Raw genomic sequence first — 19,500 nt, forward strand, 5'->3', positions numbered from 1 at the left:
TGGGTTGTAGATACAAAAGCAAGGAGAAAAAGAAAGGAGGAATAGAGTGAATTAAAAGCTTCCACAAAGGTTGTTGGTTAATAAAAGGGCATTAGGGCTCATTCAGTCGTCTCACTGAGGTGCTCCACTGCATCCTTGTGCAGCATTCTTCCTTTCTAATAAACTTTCATTTTTCAAACCCATACTGTTGTCGGTAAATTCTTTTTACCAACCCACAAGTCGACAACTTTCCAATGCCAGGGCTCTGACGCCTCACCTGGCATCTTGGTGGCCCATATGGGGACTTTACTGGGATTTGTTCCCTCAGTGGTCTGGTTTTTTGTTTGTTTGTTTTGGTTTGTTTGTTTTTTTGAGATGGAGTCTCTCGCTCTGTCGCCCGGGCTGGAGTGCAGTGGTGCAATCTCGGCTCACTGCAAGCTCCGCCTCCCGGGTTCACGCCATTCTCCTGCCTCAGCCTCCCCAGTAGCTGGGACCACAGGCACCCGCCACCACGCCCGGCTAATTTTTGTTATTTTTAGTAAAGACGGGGTTTCACCCTGTTGGTCAGGCTGGGGCTGGTCTCAAACGCCTGACCTCGTGATCCGCCCACCTCAGCCTCCCAAAGTGCTGGGATTACAGGCGTGGTGGTCTGGTTCTTTACTCGTGGGAATTGAAGGTCCCTGGCTGAGGCCACTCTTTGGTGGGATCCTGAAACCCTGGAGAAGGGATACCTGTCTGTGGCTGTTCTTAGAGGTGAGAGATTGGCCAGGGTTATTTTCTATTTTCGGACTGCCAGTGAGCCAGCTTGAATACTCTTTGGCAGTTGAGGGTTTTTGGCCGAGGGCACTCCCCGGTGTTACCTGAAGGCCAAGACAAAAGAGCGAATTTGCTATGGCCCGTCAGGGTGGCAAGTCCACTTTCACTTTAATGCTCTATAAACCGTGTCTTGGAAACGAGCGGCAGCGATCTCAACTCTGCACAGACACACTCCACTGGTTGTGGACCCACTTTTGGATTCAATTTAATCACAGGCACCACATCCTAAGCTACGGTGAGTTGCCGTTTACATTAGGTTTGAGCTGACCACTCCTACCAGGGCACACCTTGCCTGGTCATCCAGGCAAGGGCAGCAGGCCCTCTATCCATGATGGGATGCCCCTGAACAGAGTGCGCCAAAGGGGAAAGTGAAGTCCAAATTCCTCAGGGACGCCTCACGAATCTTGTAGTCCCTTACCTAAACCTAACATGGGTTCAATTCATTCTTCAATTCATTCCTACTCACCCTTGGGTTGCATTCTTAAAAAATGTTCTTATTCTGACCCACAGACTCTCAAAAAGAAGTGTATAATTTTCATTTGTATTCAGAGGTGCCTTATGTTCTGGTCTTTTGGGCTTTATCTCAAAACCCAAAGTTACATAAAAATTGTAGTGTATGCTTCCAAGGAACTTCCTCTCTCCCCGATTCCGATGTCTTAAATCATCCTTCCTTTTACCTGTCACAGTCTCCTCAGCGGGCTCCTGCTTCACCTACACCCTCTCCATCTGCTCCATCATCCCCCAATCAACTTCCCTGTCCAGTTGCTTTACCCCCCTCACATATTCACACAGGAGTCACATATGCCACTAGTCGTACAGAGTCCTCAGAAAATCCCAAAAATGTTTTGCCTCTCCTCAAGGTGGCAAATGGGCATTTGGGAACAATTCGAGTTCATATCCATTTTCCAATGTCTGATATTTTGCAAATTCAATCCAAACTGGGTTCTTTTGGCCAGGGTCCCTCTAAGATCATTCAAGAATTTTGGGCTTTAACTATTGCCTTCAATTTAACTTGGCAAGACATATTCATAGTATTAATTACTTGCTGTTCCCATGAAGAAAAATCATGCACATGGTCTTTAGCTTGAGCTTGGGCAGACAAAGCTCATGCTTGTAATCCCAGTGATAATAGAGCTGGGGCAGAAGCTGTGCTTGACACAGAACCCAATTGGCAATACCAGGCCGCCAATGCCTACCCAGAGGCAGGAGCAGACAAGATCAAATAAACTTGCTTGTTGGAAGAAGTGAAAAAGGCTGTAACAAAATCTGTTAATTTTTCGAAATTATGAGAAGTCACCCAGGAGCCATCTGATAATCCTGCCCTTTTCAAACCCAGACTGGTGGAGGTCATCCATAAATACACAGATTTAGACCCTGAAAGCCCTGAAGGCCAATCCACTCTGGCCATACATTTTATAAGTCAGGCTTCCCCAGATATTAGACAAAAAAACCCCAAATTAGAGCAAGGCCCACAAACTCCCTTTTCTACTTTATTAAATATGGCCTTTAAGGTTTTCCATAACCTGGAAGAAACATCAAAAATTTAAAAAGCTCAATGGGAGGAGGAAAAATGCCGTCACCAGCTAATTACATGGCAACAGCATTGGAACATTCTTTTTTGTTAGCTAGTAACCCCAAGGCTAGACCACATAATACTAACAGAACAAGGGTCTGTCATCACTGCAGAAATCCAGGACACTGGAGTAGAGAATGTCCCAAATCTACAGGTTACAAGCTGCCCCAGGGACCCTGTCCTCATTGCAAACAAGAGGATTGTTTGAAGAGTGAGTGTCCCTCTCTCCCTCATGGCGGGGGAGGGGTTGGGGCACCACTTCTTTCTGGGCTGTCGCAGCCACCACCTTGTCAACCTACCCAACAAGGGGGTCCTGCAGAATGAGGGCAAGGGTGAGGGCAAGGGCAAGGACAAACACCTCTATCCCTGGATTTTGATTAAGCCTCTGAAAGTCATCCTCTAGATGAGTGATGGGGCTTTGAGGCCATCTAGGCTCCTGTCTTTTCCATCTGTATAGATGAGCCTTTATAGATGAGGTAAATCTGATTGTGGCTTAACAAGAGATAATGTTCTTTATAGATACAGGGTTCAGTTTTAAATGTTTATTATGGCCCAATGTGCCAGTCCTCCATTTTCCTCACCGGTATTGATGGAAAACCTCAATGAGGCTGTTTCACACCACTGCTCCCTTGGGAAATGGACAGTTATTCCTTTACCCACTTCTTTTAGTCCTGCCAAGCTGTCCTGTTCCATTATTAGGTCATGACTTACTCACAAAATTACAAGCTAAATTACAGCTAAGGCCTCACCTTCTAGCCGTATAAATTTTCTTTTTTTTTTTTCCTTTGAGACGGAATCTCACTCTGTCACCCAGGCTGGAGTGCAGTGGTGTGATCTCAGCTCACTGCAAGCTCCACCTCCCAGGTTCATGCCATTCTCCTGCCTCAGCCTTTGTATTTTTAGTAGAGACGGGGTTTTACCATGTTAGCCAGGATGGTCTCGATCTCCTGAACTTGTGATCCACCCGCCTCAGCCTCCCAAAGTGCTAGGATTACAGGCATGAGCCAACGCACCTGGCTGCCATATAAATTTTCAAACAAGCCAAATGGCTGCACACACTTTCCCAAAGTAACCAAGACAGGACCAAAACTTTTACTGATTGGTTTCCAAAAATCACTTGGCTTCTCCCATTCCTTGGGTCTTTGTTCCTTGTTATTCTTCTTTTAATATTCAGTCCCTGTCTTTTTAACACCCTCATTAGATTTATATCTTCCAGATTACAAAGATGCCACCTACAGATGGCTATGCAATCCCAATACCATCCTGCAACGGCAACTTCCACTTACATGGAGCCTCTTGATGGAATCCGGTCTCCCCTCCATGAATGGGGTTTCAAAATCCTTCATTCCCTTTACGACAGAGAGCAAGAAGGGAAAAATACAACCTGTCCCTTCAATATCCCCTTTCAGAAGGAAGTAGCCAGACAAACTCAATGCCCCTCTTAATTGCGGGTGTTTTCTCTTTCTTGAGAACCCAATAGGCAGCAGGTAGACATGGGCATGGTGGGGTATAAAGGGTCAAAGATTTGACCAAAATATTTGTCAGGGGCAAAATGAGGAGAGCAAAAATGACCTGGTAACCATTGAACAGTCCCTGGCGACAAAAACTCTTTCTCTGAGGAATTTAGAAGGGAGCAAAGACCACTTCATTGGCATCTGGTTTCAGGCCTCTTTCAACTTTTATAAGTAACTAACATTTCTATACATCTCTGGAATGCCATGCTGAAACTCATTTTACAACCGTTAAGCTCCCAGCTTAAGGTGGATAAGTACCCTTAAGGAAAAATCCACGGCGGCACATTCAGTCCTCTCACTGAGGTGCCCCACTGCACTCTTCTGCAGCCTTCTTCCTTTCTAATAAACTTTCCCTTTCCAAACCTAATAATAATAATAAAAGGGTATTGAAGAGATGAATTTTGTTCCCTTCCCCTCTCCATTTTTCACAGTGGAGCTACATGGAGGGCTGACCGTTTCAGTCATTCTTAATATTTTGAGTTCCCATTGTCTACACAATGACAGCCAATCAACCAGACTATTCAATGGGGGCCAGGGGCATGGGAGTCCAAGCCCTGAACCCTGTGTGCCTGCTCTGGTCACATCTCTGCCCTATGTCCATCTGCATCTGGCAAAGCCCAACTTCTGACACCATGTACCCCCCTCACCACCCGTGCCCATGCTGCTTTCTGCCTCCATGCTTTTGCTTTTGCTGTTCCATCTGATGGTAGCACCTTCTTCGTGCTCCTTGGCCTGGCTGTTTCCTACTTACTCATCAAGGCTAACTACGTGTCATCTTTTCTAGGAAGCACCCCTGTGTTTCCAGGCTGGTTTAAGGCCTCCTTCTTTATTTACCACAGCACCCCAGATACACCTGTGTTTTACCTCTTACCGTATTCATATTAAAATTATCTGTTTGTGCGTTTGTTTCTTCCTCTAGATTTTAAGCTCTTCAAGGCTAATGAGGTGAGTACAATGCCTAGGACATAATAGACTTCAAATAAGTTTTGTTTGTTTACTAACGTGAAAAGCAAATATTGAGGGAAAATTTTGTTTTAATATCTGGGAAAGACTTGTGGGTAAGATCATGTTGAACATAATAATGATATTCTACAGATTTACATTTCTAGACATCACAAAAGTACAAAACCAAATATCAAAACTGGATTCCCAAACTTGTACCCCTCACACCCATGTCTGTTGTCATAAGGAGGAGTGGCGTGAACGAGAGATTGAGAGAAGCTCTGGAGACTGCCCACTGACATCCCTGCTCCACCAATGCTAACTGAATAGCCCTGAGCAAGTTACTGAGCCACTTTTGCCTCAATTCTTTATTAAAATGGGGGCAATAAGGCCGGGTGTGGTGGCTCAGGCCTGTAATCTCAGCACTTTGGGAGGCCAAGGCAGGAGGATCACTTGAGGTCAGGAGTTCGAGACCCACCTGGCCAACATGGTGAAAGCCTGTCTCTACCAAAACTACAAAAATTAGCCGGGCGTGGTGGTGCACGTCTGTAATTCCAGCTACTCAGGAGTCTGAGGCAAGAGAATCACTTGAACCAGGAAGGCGGAGGTTGCAGTGAGCTGAGATCATGCCACTGCACTCCAGCCTGGATGACAGAGCAAGACTCTGCCTAAAAAAAATAAATAAAAATATAAAAATAATAATTAAAAGTTAAAAATTAAAATGGGGCAATAATTGAGATATTCTGGAGTTTAAACAAGACAATACATGTAAAACACTCATTAAAGCTTACTACTATCACTATCGCTGCCTTTACTTTTTCTTACCACATTGTTTTCTCTGCATTATTTTCACCCATTGTAGCAACCATCTATTGAGCGTTAAAGCACACTGCATAAATGACTACTAACCCTCATAACCCTGTAATAGAGGTGTTGTTAGCTGACACTTTATAGATGATGCCATTGGAGCTCAAAGAGATTAAGTATATTCCCCATAGTCACACCACTAATAATTGATGGAGCCAGGAAATAAACTCAAAGGTGGCCAGTTCCAAGTCCAGTTCTTTTTCACAACACACACCAAGATGCTTTCCAGCTCCCTAGAAAAAATAAAATTGTACGTGTTTTATAAGTTCTATGTTCTCCTAAAATGTGGCTGTATTATTTCAACCAATCTAGAAAATTCTCCTACCCAAATCAACACTTCTCTAACTTCCTAAAGCTTATAGCCATTAAGGAGGCAATAACATACTTAGCTCCACAATAAGAAATGAAAAGAAAAAACAGCAACTATTCCTAGGAAGTAACATATGAGTGTTCATACGAAAATGTTAATGACAAATATGAAGTTCTTTCAAGAGAGCAACTTTAATAGAAAGCATCAAAGGAAAAAAGGAAATTTACAAAGTTATTTTACTGCTAAAGACATAAAAGTGACAGGCATTTTAAAAATACCAAAACAATTGTTTTCATCTCCTTTTTGTTTCTTTTGGATTATTTCTAACGATTTGCTGAAAGCTATGAAAGGAAGTATGCTCAACAGCACACACAGCCATTCATTCCAACTTCTGTATGTCTTATCAGGGGATTCACAACTCATAAAGCCCAACCAAGATTTCAGCCTAAGGGTCCCTGACTTGTTGTCAATTACAGATTTTGCAGCAGATACCAATATGGGGAAAGGAAGGTTTAAAAAATATAAAGGAGGCCAATTCAAGCTGTTTCCATAGTTCATAATCTTACTACCTTTGTTACAGACTCTTTTCCTCCTAATTTTAAATGCCCCAGACTTTTCTACATGATCCTCAGGTTAAGAACTAATGACCTGAAATAAATAATATGTACTTCCCATAACCCTTAACAATCATTTCTTTATGATCTGAAATGCAGGATAAAGTTTTCTCTAACCAAAGCTTTCTTGACCACATGTAATGTTCTGTTGAGGCTAAAGAAAGGGAGTATAGCATTGGACTTTGGGGATTATATGAATATTGGTTGTCTTGAAAATGTGAGAGATGCCTGAGGGTTTCCTCTGTTACATATGATGGAATCCATTTCCTCTCACCATGATACTCTCCCTTTCTCTCCTACTTCAGCCCCAGACTCAGACCGCACCTGCTACAGTACCACCATCCATAAGGGATCCGTAACTTACTCTTCTGCACTTGTCCACTCACTATGAATTCTAAGATAAAGCTCTATTTATTCATTTATTTCATTGGACAAACTGGGCTCATATGCCATTAGAAATTGCTGCAGGCCAGACGCGGTGGCTCATGCCTGTAATTTCACTTTGGAAGGTCAAGGCAGGCAGGTAACTTGAGGTCAGGAGTTCGAGACCAGCCTGGCCAAAATGGTGAAACCCCATCTCTACTAAAAATACAAAAATTAGCCAGGCATGGTGGCAGGCACCTGTAATCCCAGCTACTCAGGAGGCTGAGTCAAGAGAATCATTTGAATCCAGGAGGCGGAGGTTGCAGCGAGCCGGGATCCCACCACTGCACTCCAGCCTGGGTGACAGTGTGAGAGTCCATCTCAAAACAAAACAAAACAAGACAAAACAAAACAAAACAAAAAAGAAAAAGAAAAAAGAAATTGCTGTGAACTTCTTTCCATATGCTCTTCCTTAGAGATTTCAAAGCTATATAGATTGAGAAACTTCTTATCCTTTAAGCTTGTCATGGTGCTTGTTTACTGATCACCACTGAGGGTTATAGCAAAGCTACTGATTCCAAATATAAGACTTTTCACAGGGCACTGCTACCTATCCTTAATTTGACTACCAAAAACTGTGTATCAATTCACAGTAACTGCATGTCAGGCTGTTGAAAAAAGAATGCTAATCATATGGTGACTCTGGTTGCAGCACAATTTTGCAATCTTGAAATCATAATAAATAGGGTTGTTCCACTTGTGTTAAGTATTTGTGGCTTTGCTCTGAACCAAAATACAGATGGGCAGGAATGGCAGAAACAATGCAGCCATTTAGTAAGTGAAAAGGCATAAAAGCGTGTGCTAGAATTTTGCATTTTTCTTGTGAAGAACATTTAGATAAAGCATTTACAATGTCACAAAAATAATGCCCCCAATATTTTTAAAATCACAGTTTAGAAAGCTATAGTAGCCTGTCAATGAAAGAAGTAATGAGCAGATGTTTTCCTTATTTCCAAATATATTTAGAATTCTGAGGGAAAGCCACAAAGAGCATTTTTATTATGCACCTGTCATGGTCAACATCTGGCAGCAGCTCTTGCCAATACATCAGTCTCATGAGTTGGTGTCTCCTTCTAGCACACAGAGAGACTGTAAATAAACCCACAGTGCAAAGCACTCCTTTCCTTTTTTGTTTTTTTTCTTTCTTTTCTTTTTTGTTTTGATTTTTCAATAGCAAGAAAGAAGCAGCACAGCAAAACCCAGAAAATGTATATTTGTACCATGTATAGACTACATAGTATCTGTGCCTCTTAAAGAAGAAATGCAAATGCAATTAGAGGCCATAGAATGAGAGGATTTAAAATATTTTTAAGAGAAAATGAGTTGTCTAGGATCTTCCAATCTTTCAGTCATTCTTTAATTTAACAAGTAATTTTTACTAGCTACTAGAAGTACATAGTGTGATAAGACCTATAGCCACACAAATAAAATATGCACAATCCTTGCTCTCATACAAAACAGTGCATGCATTTAAAGAGCTGTTATAAAAGTCTGTAAATGAGAGGTCAAGACCTGCTGCTGATCTTATTTATGAGACTTTCACTTCCTTAAACTGGGAGGAACATTTTCAGGTCCCAACACAGGAAATAAGGAAAACCTTTCTACTCATCATTCCATGGAAAGAGAGATAGATCAAATTCCCTTACAAAGAGCGTTGTTATCATCTAACGCTTTTGTTATTTTTGGAATTTGGATAGGTGGGTCACTGACTGAAGAGCAGAAGTTTGTTTTTGTGAGATAAAAAAATATTTTGTTGGCACACTTGTTATACTGGATTTCCTTGCACAGCAGAGATATTAAGCCACTTTTTCTCGATTATCCAAAATCTGATTTGAAATTTCAAGTAAGTAAAGAGACTAGAATCACTTCAATCAATCATGCTCCCACTTGGGGGAATTTATTTGCACACACCTATGAATACACACACATACACGCACAATTTCTAAATAGCAATTCAGGATGTGTATTAGGACTTAATTTCAAGTGAAGAAGCTCAGTTTGAACTAACTTGGGCAGAAATAGAGACATCATTAACTCACAAAGGAGAGGACAATGGTAGCTGTAACAAGGGGCTCATATACCATCTTTTGCTCTCTCATCGCTTCTTCTTTCTGTATGTTGTCTATCACTTAGTTTCTCCTAGGGCAAGTTCCATGCTGTTGAATACTTAAATGTTGGCAGCTGGCTCTGGGTTCAGATCAACCTAGATTTACCACCAGAAGGAAGAAATTCTATTTTACCATTCTTGATTCTCTCTTGTCCCAACCTTAGTTTAAAACCTCCCCCAAATGGACAATTCATGTATTTGCCTCTGCCTCATTACTAAAGTCAGGGAGGAAGTGCCACCTAGGAATAAGGGAAGCTCCAATTTAGACCACATGGTGATAGCTATAGTGGGACTCAGAAGGGTGAGAGTGAGAGAGAGTTTTTCAAAGGTAGGAAGAGGTGGTCCTCCAAAGATAGAGATGTTACACAGACAAGATAATAAATGTCCTCAGATGTGGCTTTGATACCTTAAAATATTTAATGCTATTGTGTTGTTTTTATCAGAGCTTTATAGTTTCTTTGTACAGTATATCTTCATTTGTCATTAATAAAGGAGTTCTGATTTTCTTTTACTCTGCTGTTTTAGCACAAAGTAGATTATTTAATTGTAATTGGAAATAGTGGAACCTCATCAGGGTTATTATTAGATACTTTGTATTTTATAACATTTTATGTATGCTTATTTTATCCTGAATAACAATGTTAAAATACATTTCACATTCTTAGCTATCATAGTGATAGTTGTGTAATTACTAAAAAAAAGTGTGCTAATTAAAAACAACATATTAGAGATTTGGGGCATTTCTAGCACAGCCTATTTCTTTAAACATTTACAGTGAACCTGGATAAGAAAATGTGTTTCTAATAAATTTAGACAGACCTCTTCTTATCATGCAATTTCTTTCTGTATTGTTACAATCAAAACGTCTTGCTCAAACTGCACCTACTACCATGATTTAGGGGGAAAAACTTACTTATAGATCATTTTAGCTTTCTAAGTGGCAATTCTTATTCAAATTTGAATTAGAATTGACTCAAGTGGGTGAAAATCAGTCCCATTACTTTCTTTTCTACAATGCAGTTCACTCCTGTTTTTTAATACCATGAAGTATTCATTGCTTATTTTCTTCACTTTTATTTCAAGTGGACTCATACACGTAACTTCGAATTTCCCAGATCTACTATTTTTAATTTCATAAAGTCTTGATTAGGTTTTTAAATTTGAGCTTTGTAGCATAAAAATCTACAAGTGGATCAGATAGCTGAATTAATTAAGATTGATTGTCTGATTCAACAATAAAAACAGAAGCCAGATAAAGTGTTGGTGGTTGGGCCAAGCAAATAAAAAATAATCAAATTACCTAGTAGCTGGAAAAAAACCCTCGAATTTTGAAAGACTGAAGACTCATGACATAACAAACTCCCATGTAGGGCAAGAGCATCTATTAAAATGTACTACAGTGTGTTCTTTTGGGGACCAATAAGATATAATATGCCTGCTAGGAAGATCTGGGAGACATGCAATCGCAAATAATAAACTGAAACCTACTACACATTTTGTGGGGATTGTAGGACATTCCAGCATAACTGCAGTGCTTGTGGGTCTCAGAATCATGTATAGCAGAGTTTTCATGAAAACTTCATTAACTGTTTCATAAAATCCAATGTGCATACTACTGGTGGTCATGAGATAATTTTACATGGCACACAAAATATTTTTCTTCTAACATATCTACTTTATTGTAAACATTAAAATTGTGTATTAAAAAATAACATGTCATGCCCACATTTTAATTGATATTTTGTTAAGATTAAAATTGAAGTAGATATTTAAGGCTAAAAAGATATCAATTTGAAGAAAAATATTTGATAGTCATTCTACAAGTATTAAGAAGATGGTCAGCACTGGCTTCTTTGAGAAGGTGAGATTTGAGCAGATTTGGAGAAGTTGAGAGAGAACAAAGTAGGTATCTGGGAAGAGTAGTCCACGTAGAGGGAAGAATTAGGGCAGAAGTCCCAGGCAGGAATGCCTGTGTGTGGAAGGAACAATAAGGTGGCCAGAGTAGCAGAGAAAAGAAAGAAAGAGGCCAGAGAGAGTATAGGGAACCAGATCATGTAGGGCCTTCTAAGTGGATGACCATACAACTCATCAAACAATCTGCAACACTTATTAGAATAACATAGGACACATTTAATAATTACACCAAAACAGCATGCATAAACCAGGGCTGTCCCTGAAAACTGGAACACAGGGTCACTCTATCTATAGGACAATGTAGGGACTGTAGCTTTTACTCTGAGTAAAATGGAGAGTCATTGCAGATCTTTTAAAGGATCATCCTTGCTGCTACGATGAGCATAGACTGTAGTAGAGCTCTACTACAGACAGAAGGTGATAGTACAGGTGACATGAGCAAGTGACCAAGTCTAGAAAGTGCTGTTCTAACACATGTGACACTATTAATCCTCTCAATTCAGGATAATTCTGTCAGGTTCTGAGAAGAGGTGATACCAGGACAAGTCTAAAGAATTTGTTCCACATCCAAGAAATTGCTGCTCACCTTTTACAGCACTGGACCAGGTTATAGAAACATAAAATTTGAGACCATACACCTGAACTCAAGAAATTCTGCTGGGGAGGTCATTTAAGTGACAGATAACAAGCATCCAGTGATTATGATCTGGCAATACCACCATGTTGCTGGAGTGATTCTCCTCCTGAAGTTAGGGGAGAAGGGAGAAGACATTCTGGGAAGACACTGTCAGTTTATCTATTTCAAAGCCATATCCCATTTCATTTCTCCCTTCTAAAGGTTCTGATAAACTGCCCAAAAGAGTGAGTCTAGTTTGAAAGCTTAAAAAAGCTTCCTAGGTGATTCTAATATTAACCTGTAGAATGAGAACCACTCAACATAGTGACAGCAAATTGAATTATCAGATACTCTTTGTTTTATATTTGTGTTTTTTATCTTGGAATTAAAAACCCATATGAGATTACACTTCACTGTGAGGTACTAAATATAGAAAAACTGGGTAGAGAATAGGCAAGGAAAATTGGTTGAGTAAAATTTTCAATTGTATAAGAAAATGCAGCCACATATATATATAGAGAGAGAGAAAGATGTTATAGCCTAAATGTGTCCAAAAAATTCATGTGTTGGTACCTTAAACCCCAGTGCAACAGTGTTGGGAGGCGAGGCCTAATGGGAAGTGTTTAGGTCATGAGGGCAAACTCTTCATGAATGGGCTAATTCTGCACCACCATCCCCTGGCACAGTGCCTTACAAAATGGGGTTTGAACTGAGTCCTACTACCTCAGCGGACATTCCTCCTTCCCAACTTGTTCAGGTTCCTAGACCAGTAAGCCTCCATTACCTCTTCCCGCTCCATCTCTAAAGAGGGTGGAAGCAGCCCTCCGGGAGGATTCATTCACTCCCTCTCTCCTTGTTATTTATTTTCCTGCTGTATATATCACCTTTGTTGACAACAGATTATTTTTTATTTTTTAGAAAAAGGGCTTGCAGGAGTGGGTTTGCTCTTTTGCCATGTGAGGAAATAGCATTGTCCCCTTTTGCCTTCCTCCTTCTGCCATATGAGGATGCAGCAAGAAGGCCCTCATCAGATGCTAGTGCCTTGGTCTTAAACTTCCCAGCATCCAGAACTGTGAGAAATACATTTTCATTCTTTATAAATGTCTTCATCTGTGGTATTCTGTTATAGCAGCAAAAAATGAGCTAAGACAAGAAACACAGACAGATAGGGATGTATAGATGAATTAGTCTACTGAGACTACCATAACAAGATACCATAGATGGGGTGGCCTAAACAACAGACATTTATTTTCTCACAGTTCTGGAACCTAGAAGTCCTAGATCAAGGTACCACCGGGTTGGTTTCTGGTGGAAGGTTCTCTTTCTTGCTTACAGACATCTGACTTCTTGCTGTGTCCTCACAGAGCCTCTTCTTCGTGCACAAGTGAAAAGAGAGAGAGCTCTCTGGTGTCTCTTTCTCTTCTTATAAGGTCACCAGTCCTATCGGATTAAGGCCCCACCCTCACGACCTCATTTAAATTTAATTACTTTGATAAAGTTCCTATCTCTACATTCACATTGGGGGTTAGGACTCCAACATATAAATTTTGGGGAACACAATTCTGTTCCTAAAAACATGTCTATACGTCTACATATATAAATATATATATATAATTTATATTTACATCTATCTACCTTTCCATATAGATATTGAATTTACTGAATTGCTGGTACAGGTGATCCAGTAGTCAAATAAATGTTTTCAATTGTTAGGTCTAAGCTAATTGTTGCAGCTCTTCTGATAGGCAGCAGGCCTGTCACTCTTAAGACAGAATTGATTTCACTTTGGCTGTATTTAATTAACCTGGACCCAGAAAAAATAAATCTTTTGTGTGTGTTTGTCCAAGAGCTAATTTTGGGAGAAGAGCTCTGACTCAGAATGGCTTCCAAATGATACATAGCCTGGGTGTACCTCAGAAGGGAGATTCAAGCAAAATCCTCATCTGTCTCAGAGGCCTTACCAGTTCTGGACAAGTGTGTGATGTCTAACAGATCCACCAGTAGTAATTCTTGAAAAGGTAAATGCCCCTCTCCTAACCTTTCTCTAGCACAAGGAGATAGTTTCAGTGGTCTCTGTCTCAGTCACCAAACCCTCTTCCTGATTACTGTGCTGGATGATGGTACAGCTCATCACCTTTTCCCCAATTTGTGTCTTAGCTCCCAGATTAATTAGTTTACCTTTCACTAGAATGAACTGAAATTTCCACCTTTATACTCTTACTTTAAATTGATCTAAACCCTTTTTCATTTTACATGCTATACCTCTTTATTTCTTCCAAGTGAATCTTACAAATTGAGTATCATTTGCATACTTGAATGAAGAGTTTCAGCGTCTCTCTTTGTAGCTCTTCTGTCTCATAGAAAACAACGATTCTAAAATGTGTTCATGATAAATCATCCTTTGAAATGAATTCAGAGAATTTTGGGGTTGAAAGGTGCATTAAATGTAGAGTATAAACTCTTCATTTACAGACAAGGAAACTGTGGTCGATAGATCCATGGTCTGCTCAGAATTATCCAGTTAATCAATGTCAGAGCAAAAACTGGAACTCAGGGAACTTAACTCCAAGTCAAAACAATATTATACTAAGAAACAATTATACTGAAATTATTTAGGAGGCAATTATTCACTTCTTGTATTAGAAATCTAGAGATTTATGTTCCATTCCCATTAATATATTACCCTGAGAAATAATACTTTTACATGTTTCTTTATTTGTAAAGTGAAAGAAATAGTCTTCTTAGACACCTAAAAGGCATATAAAGATTCACAGTACAAATATTGTGAACCAGTGATAGTTACAAATGGTATTCTGTGATTTTTTTTGGTATGCATCTCCCAAGAGAGACTCAACAGACACAAACTTTATATTATACATTTGTAAAATGGAATGCACTGTCAAACAAATAGAAAAGTCATTCAGACAAATAGTAATGCAGGACATACTAATAGATGATATCCTGGCCAAAAAAGCCAATTTATAAGTAAATGCTTATAGAGATTGAGGTATCAGTGGATTTAAGTCTCTAATTTTGTGATCTGATTATTGTAAATGAGTAACATGAAAATAGTGATGATAATATGGAGATGGAAATAACAAATACTTATATGGTACAACATGACAGGTACCATTTCAAGCATTTTACACTTATTAGGCCCTCAGAAAAGTCATATGATACAGGTACCAGATATCGTTATTGGCCTTTTTTTTTTTTAACTTTTTCTATAAAAGGCTTGGGGGTGATAGAGGGCAAGTTGAATTTTATGAGATCAATGAAAAAGAGAAAGGCTAAGAGGAGTAGCCTTAAGGAGGAAGCCTATCTTTGGTATATGTAAGAGTAGGGACTCTTGGCCACGTGGGAACAAAACCCAGCTCAAACTGACTTAATAAAAATGGAAATTTGTTGGCTTATATAATCCAAAACCTGGATCCAGGGGCTCAAATTATGTCTTCAGCACTTGGTCTCTCTCCATCTTATGGGTCTATTTTTCTCTATGATAGTTTCATTCATGCCAGCTCTTCTTAGAGGTTTAAAGAGAGTCAACCACAGGCTTCGATTGTGTCACTTTAGCAATTCCACCAACTACAGAATTTTTTTATTCCTATCATCAAAATACTATTATCCTGTTGGAGTCTCACTGGAGCAAACTGTATCTCTTGCCAATCACTGTGGCCACGGACCTTGAATATAATTCAATAGAACTGGATCACATGCCTAAATCCTAATGCTAGCCCTCCTCCAAAGAAAAATCAGTTTCTGCTATTAATGAAGAGAGAATAACACTACAAAGCAAAAGCCAAAGTTGCCCACCACAGCATAGAAAGAGGTGTATAAATAAGCAGAATGAGATAGAAATTATAAAATATGAGTGAGGGGAGATCAGGTCAAAATGTTAGGTTAGGAGGTGCAGAAAGCATGTAAGAGGAAAAAGGAAAAATTGCAGTATTGTATAAAGGGTGTTCTTGCCATGACAGATGTTAAAAAGTCATAGTGAGGTTTAAGAGAAATGTTATGACTTTTATCCTGAATTGGGCTTTGCACTGATTCCTGGCTCTATGGAAAGTAAAACACTACATTCTATTGGCTTCTGCATTAAATAAGCTAATAGAATTTAGCCTGCACTCCCAAATTCAACCCAAAGCAACTACCAAACCATCTGTGAAATATACTGTTAGGCAGTAACTGATTCACGAAAAAGACAGATTCATAACCAACTATAATTCAAAATAGAACATGAGCCAGGCACAGTGGTCAACACATGTAATCCTAGAACTTTGAGAGGCTAAAGTGGGAAGATCACTTGAGCCCAGGACCTCGAGACCAGCCTAAGCAACATAGTGGGACGTTGTCTATACAAAAAATCAAAAAATTAGCCAGGCCTAGTAGTGTGCACCTATAGTCCCAGCTACTCTGCGGGCTAACCCAGGAGGATGGTTTGAATACAGGAGTTAGAGGCTGCAGTGAGCCATGTTCCCACCAAGGCACTACAGCCTGAGTGACAGAGCATGACCTTGTCTCAAAAAAAAAAAAAAAAGGTCATGTTAAGTACAGTAACAGAAACACTGATGCAGTTCCAAGGTCAGGGAGGGAGGGATTTGGACAGGTAATTAAGAAGGAACAGAAAGTCACAGAGGAAGTCTTCATGGAAGAAGTGGCATCTGAACTAGGCCTTGATGGATGGGGATCATCTTGACAGGAGAGATCATGGGGACGGTGTTTATGGTAAAAGAACAAAGACAAAGAGGATAAAATTGGTGAATAACAGATTCAGAGTAGGATGCTTGAAAGAATTATAAAAGATGAGGCTGCAAATGTAGTTGGTGAATCTCTATGGATGACATGCGGGGGATTTCCAATTCTTCAGGTAAAGAGGAACAATTGAAGAAGACCTTCAAGCTTCTGCAGAGGTCATGATCAGAGTTATCCTATAGAAAGAATATTTTGGCAGTAGTGTGAAAGATAGATTGGAAGAAATAAGCAAGAAGCAAAGACTCTCACTGGGAGTTTAGGACAAAACTCTGAGTATGATAGAAGTGGAAACAAAGAAAGTAATAAAGGAAAGAAATGAGAAACTGGAAGCAGGAAACATTTTGGAGATATAATTCCTAGCACTTGTCAATAATTGGTTGTGAGAATTGAGAAACAGATAACATTCTTGGGACTGGGTACTTAGGAGAATGATTATGCCATTGATGAAGCAGAAGGGGGTCAGGTTTGTAGGTGGGTGCCTGTTTTGTGTGTATTAGTGGAAAGTGACATGGCTAAAGGATGAGTTAAGACCCCACTTACAGCACAGATGAAGTAAGTGGATGATGGGAAATTACTGTGGGAGGAAGTTGAAAAAGATAACTTTCTGCAAGGTATAAACGTTAGGATACAATTTACAGAATATTTAGACTTTAAAAAATGTTATTTATATTTTCTAGTTACTAACTGATATGGTTTGGCTGTGTCCCCACCCAAATCTCATATTGAATTATAGCTCCCACAATTCCCAGGTGTTGTGGGAATGACCCAGTGGGATGTAGTTGAATCATGGGGGCAGGTCTTCCCCATGCTGTTTTTGTAATAATGAATCAGTCTCATGACATTGGATGGTTTTATAAAGGGGAGTTTCCCTGCACAAGTTCTCTTATCTTGTCTGCCACCATGTAAGACATGACTTTCACCTTCTGCCATGATTGTGAGGCCTCCCCAGCCATGTGGAACTATAAGTCCATTAAACCTCTTTCTTTTGTAAATTGCCCAGTCTTGGATATGTCTTCATCAGCAGCATGAAAATGGACTAATACATAACTCTGTATTAGACTCAAACAAAATGAAAGTTCAAAAAATACCAACTAAATCTGTCTTTATTTCCCTAACTGTATCTTTTTTTTTTTTTAATTTAACTCTTATTTTAAGTTCAGGGGTACGGGTGCAGGTTTGTTGTATAGGTAAACTTGTGTCATGGGGGTTTGTTGTACAGATTATTTCATCGCCCATTATGTTCTTCACAGTAATTAGATTAACTCTAATACCCATTATTTATTTTTCCTGCATCTTCTTAATAGTCTTGGACCTTTGCAATTTAGAACTACTGCTTTTTTCACGTTAAATAAGCCTAAGCTTTTAGAACCAATTTTTAAATCTGTACAAAGTTTAGTTCATTTTCTGTCATTTCTAGAAAACTGATTCTTGACTCGTGCCATCTCTTTCTTTTCTCTAAAGGCATTGGAGAAGTAAATATTTGGTGAATATGTCCTTATCATTCAACACAAGCTCTCTACTGTGGTTTTAAAACACTCTGCCATTTCTTTCATCTTAAAACTAGCCAGGGGAGAGGAAGAAGTTGGAAGTGATCACTAGAAATTGAACATCATTTTTTGAAAAATGTCAAGCACTTGTTTTGAGTGAGACTCTGACTGGACAGATAAAGGAAGCAAACAACCTGGAAGTGGCATCCTTAAGGGATGATTTCAGTGTTTATAATGCCCTAGCTAATCTATTTCTTGTGGCCTCTGTATTCTCAAATCAGGAATATTCCTTGAAGAACTTATCGCAGAGTTAACATGATAAACAGCAGGCACTGAATTGAGAATACATCAGGGAGCCTGAAATGACTCCAGGTTAACTATCAAAGCGAGGAATCCTCATTAAAACTATAACTTCCTTCCTCTAATTCAAGATCTTGGGGTATTAACTGAAGACTCAGTGAATGTGTGCACAACAGCAAAGACAAATCAACCAAGAAAGGGACAAAGAGATCTGGGGCTAAGGGAAAAGATGGATAAAGGGTCAGAGAAAGATGAACATTGGCCTTAAAGATAAAGCAGTCACATTGAAGAAGAAGTAATTATTCCACACATAGCAGACTATGCTGATCGTTGTCCCAATTGCCTCTTCCTTCTTTATTATTGTTCATGAAGCTCTGATTTTTCCAGGTATCCACTCCTTCTCATATGACTGACAGTTATATCTTAAGTTTACGAATGTCAAAAAAAATCCCATTATGTTCTTCACAGTAATTAGATTAAGATGAATATATGATATGATTCTGGCCAATTAGGTGAGGAGAAATCTGGTGAGTAGCTTCTGGGTGAAGTTTCCTTGGTGTTAAGAAGAGGAGACACAAAGGGACATCTATTATCCCCCATATTCTTTTAGATGGTGTCTAGTCTGTATATGATGGGCAGCATCATTTCACTACTATTAGGGGTGCCAGTCAAGAACAAAGTGAAATGGCAGAAAAGAAATGAGGGACGCCTGTGTTTTTGAAGATTTCATTTAATTACTGAATCAACCAATCTTGAGGCCACCTGTTATAATGATTATAATTTACTTTAAAACACTTCAACATATACACTGTGATATTATGTGCACTTAGCTTGGCATGAGCTGTCACCCAGAGGCTGTAAGCATTCTACTCAAATATTCCCTGTCCAGTAGTGGTTAACGAACACAGGAGTAGCCTGCTGGCATTCTCATCAAGAAGTCAATACTCCAGAAAAGCTATTACAAGCACTTCTGTTATGTGTATCTTGCTCAATAACTTCCATTTTGCTAATTAGCATACTAAATGTCAGAAAAGGGCTTTTAGTGATAAAAATAGCAGCCTGTTGACTACCATGATGAATGTTAAAATCGGGCTCTCACTGGTAAAATTAAAGGTATTCAACTTGTGTGAATTAGTTAAATTATTTTATAGTCACCCCTACTCTTGCATGAATAGAGAATAAGAATCTATCAGGTCAAAAACTTGTACTCCTTGGGATTTTGCCCCAGGCTAAATTCCTAAACATGCTAGTCTCTAGCCATAGGATTTAGAATTCTGATTGCCTGA

At 39.5% G+C, this 19,500-nt stretch overlaps 1 long non-coding RNA gene across 2 annotated transcripts in view; it reads left to right on the plus strand.

Annotated features, from left to right (window-relative positions):
* The window catches only part of LOC105379104 (uncharacterized), a 62,441-nt gene that overhangs the window by 28,432 nt on the left and 14,509 nt on the right, over positions 1-19,500 (plus strand). Inside the window, exon 3 of one of the 2 annotated variants that reach the window (XR_948631.4) lies at positions 13,523-13,693. The exons of the other annotated variant lie outside the window; for it this stretch is intronic. This is a non-coding gene — a long non-coding RNA (uncharacterized LOC105379104). The remainder of the gene's footprint in view (positions 1-13,522; positions 13,694-19,500) is intronic. 2 annotated transcript variants of the gene reach the window in all.

The sequence above is a fragment of the Homo sapiens genome, chromosome 5 (assembly GCF_000001405.40).
Source record: "Homo sapiens chromosome 5, GRCh38.p14 Primary Assembly".
NCBI lineage: Eukaryota > Metazoa > Chordata > Mammalia > Primates > Hominidae > Homo > Homo sapiens.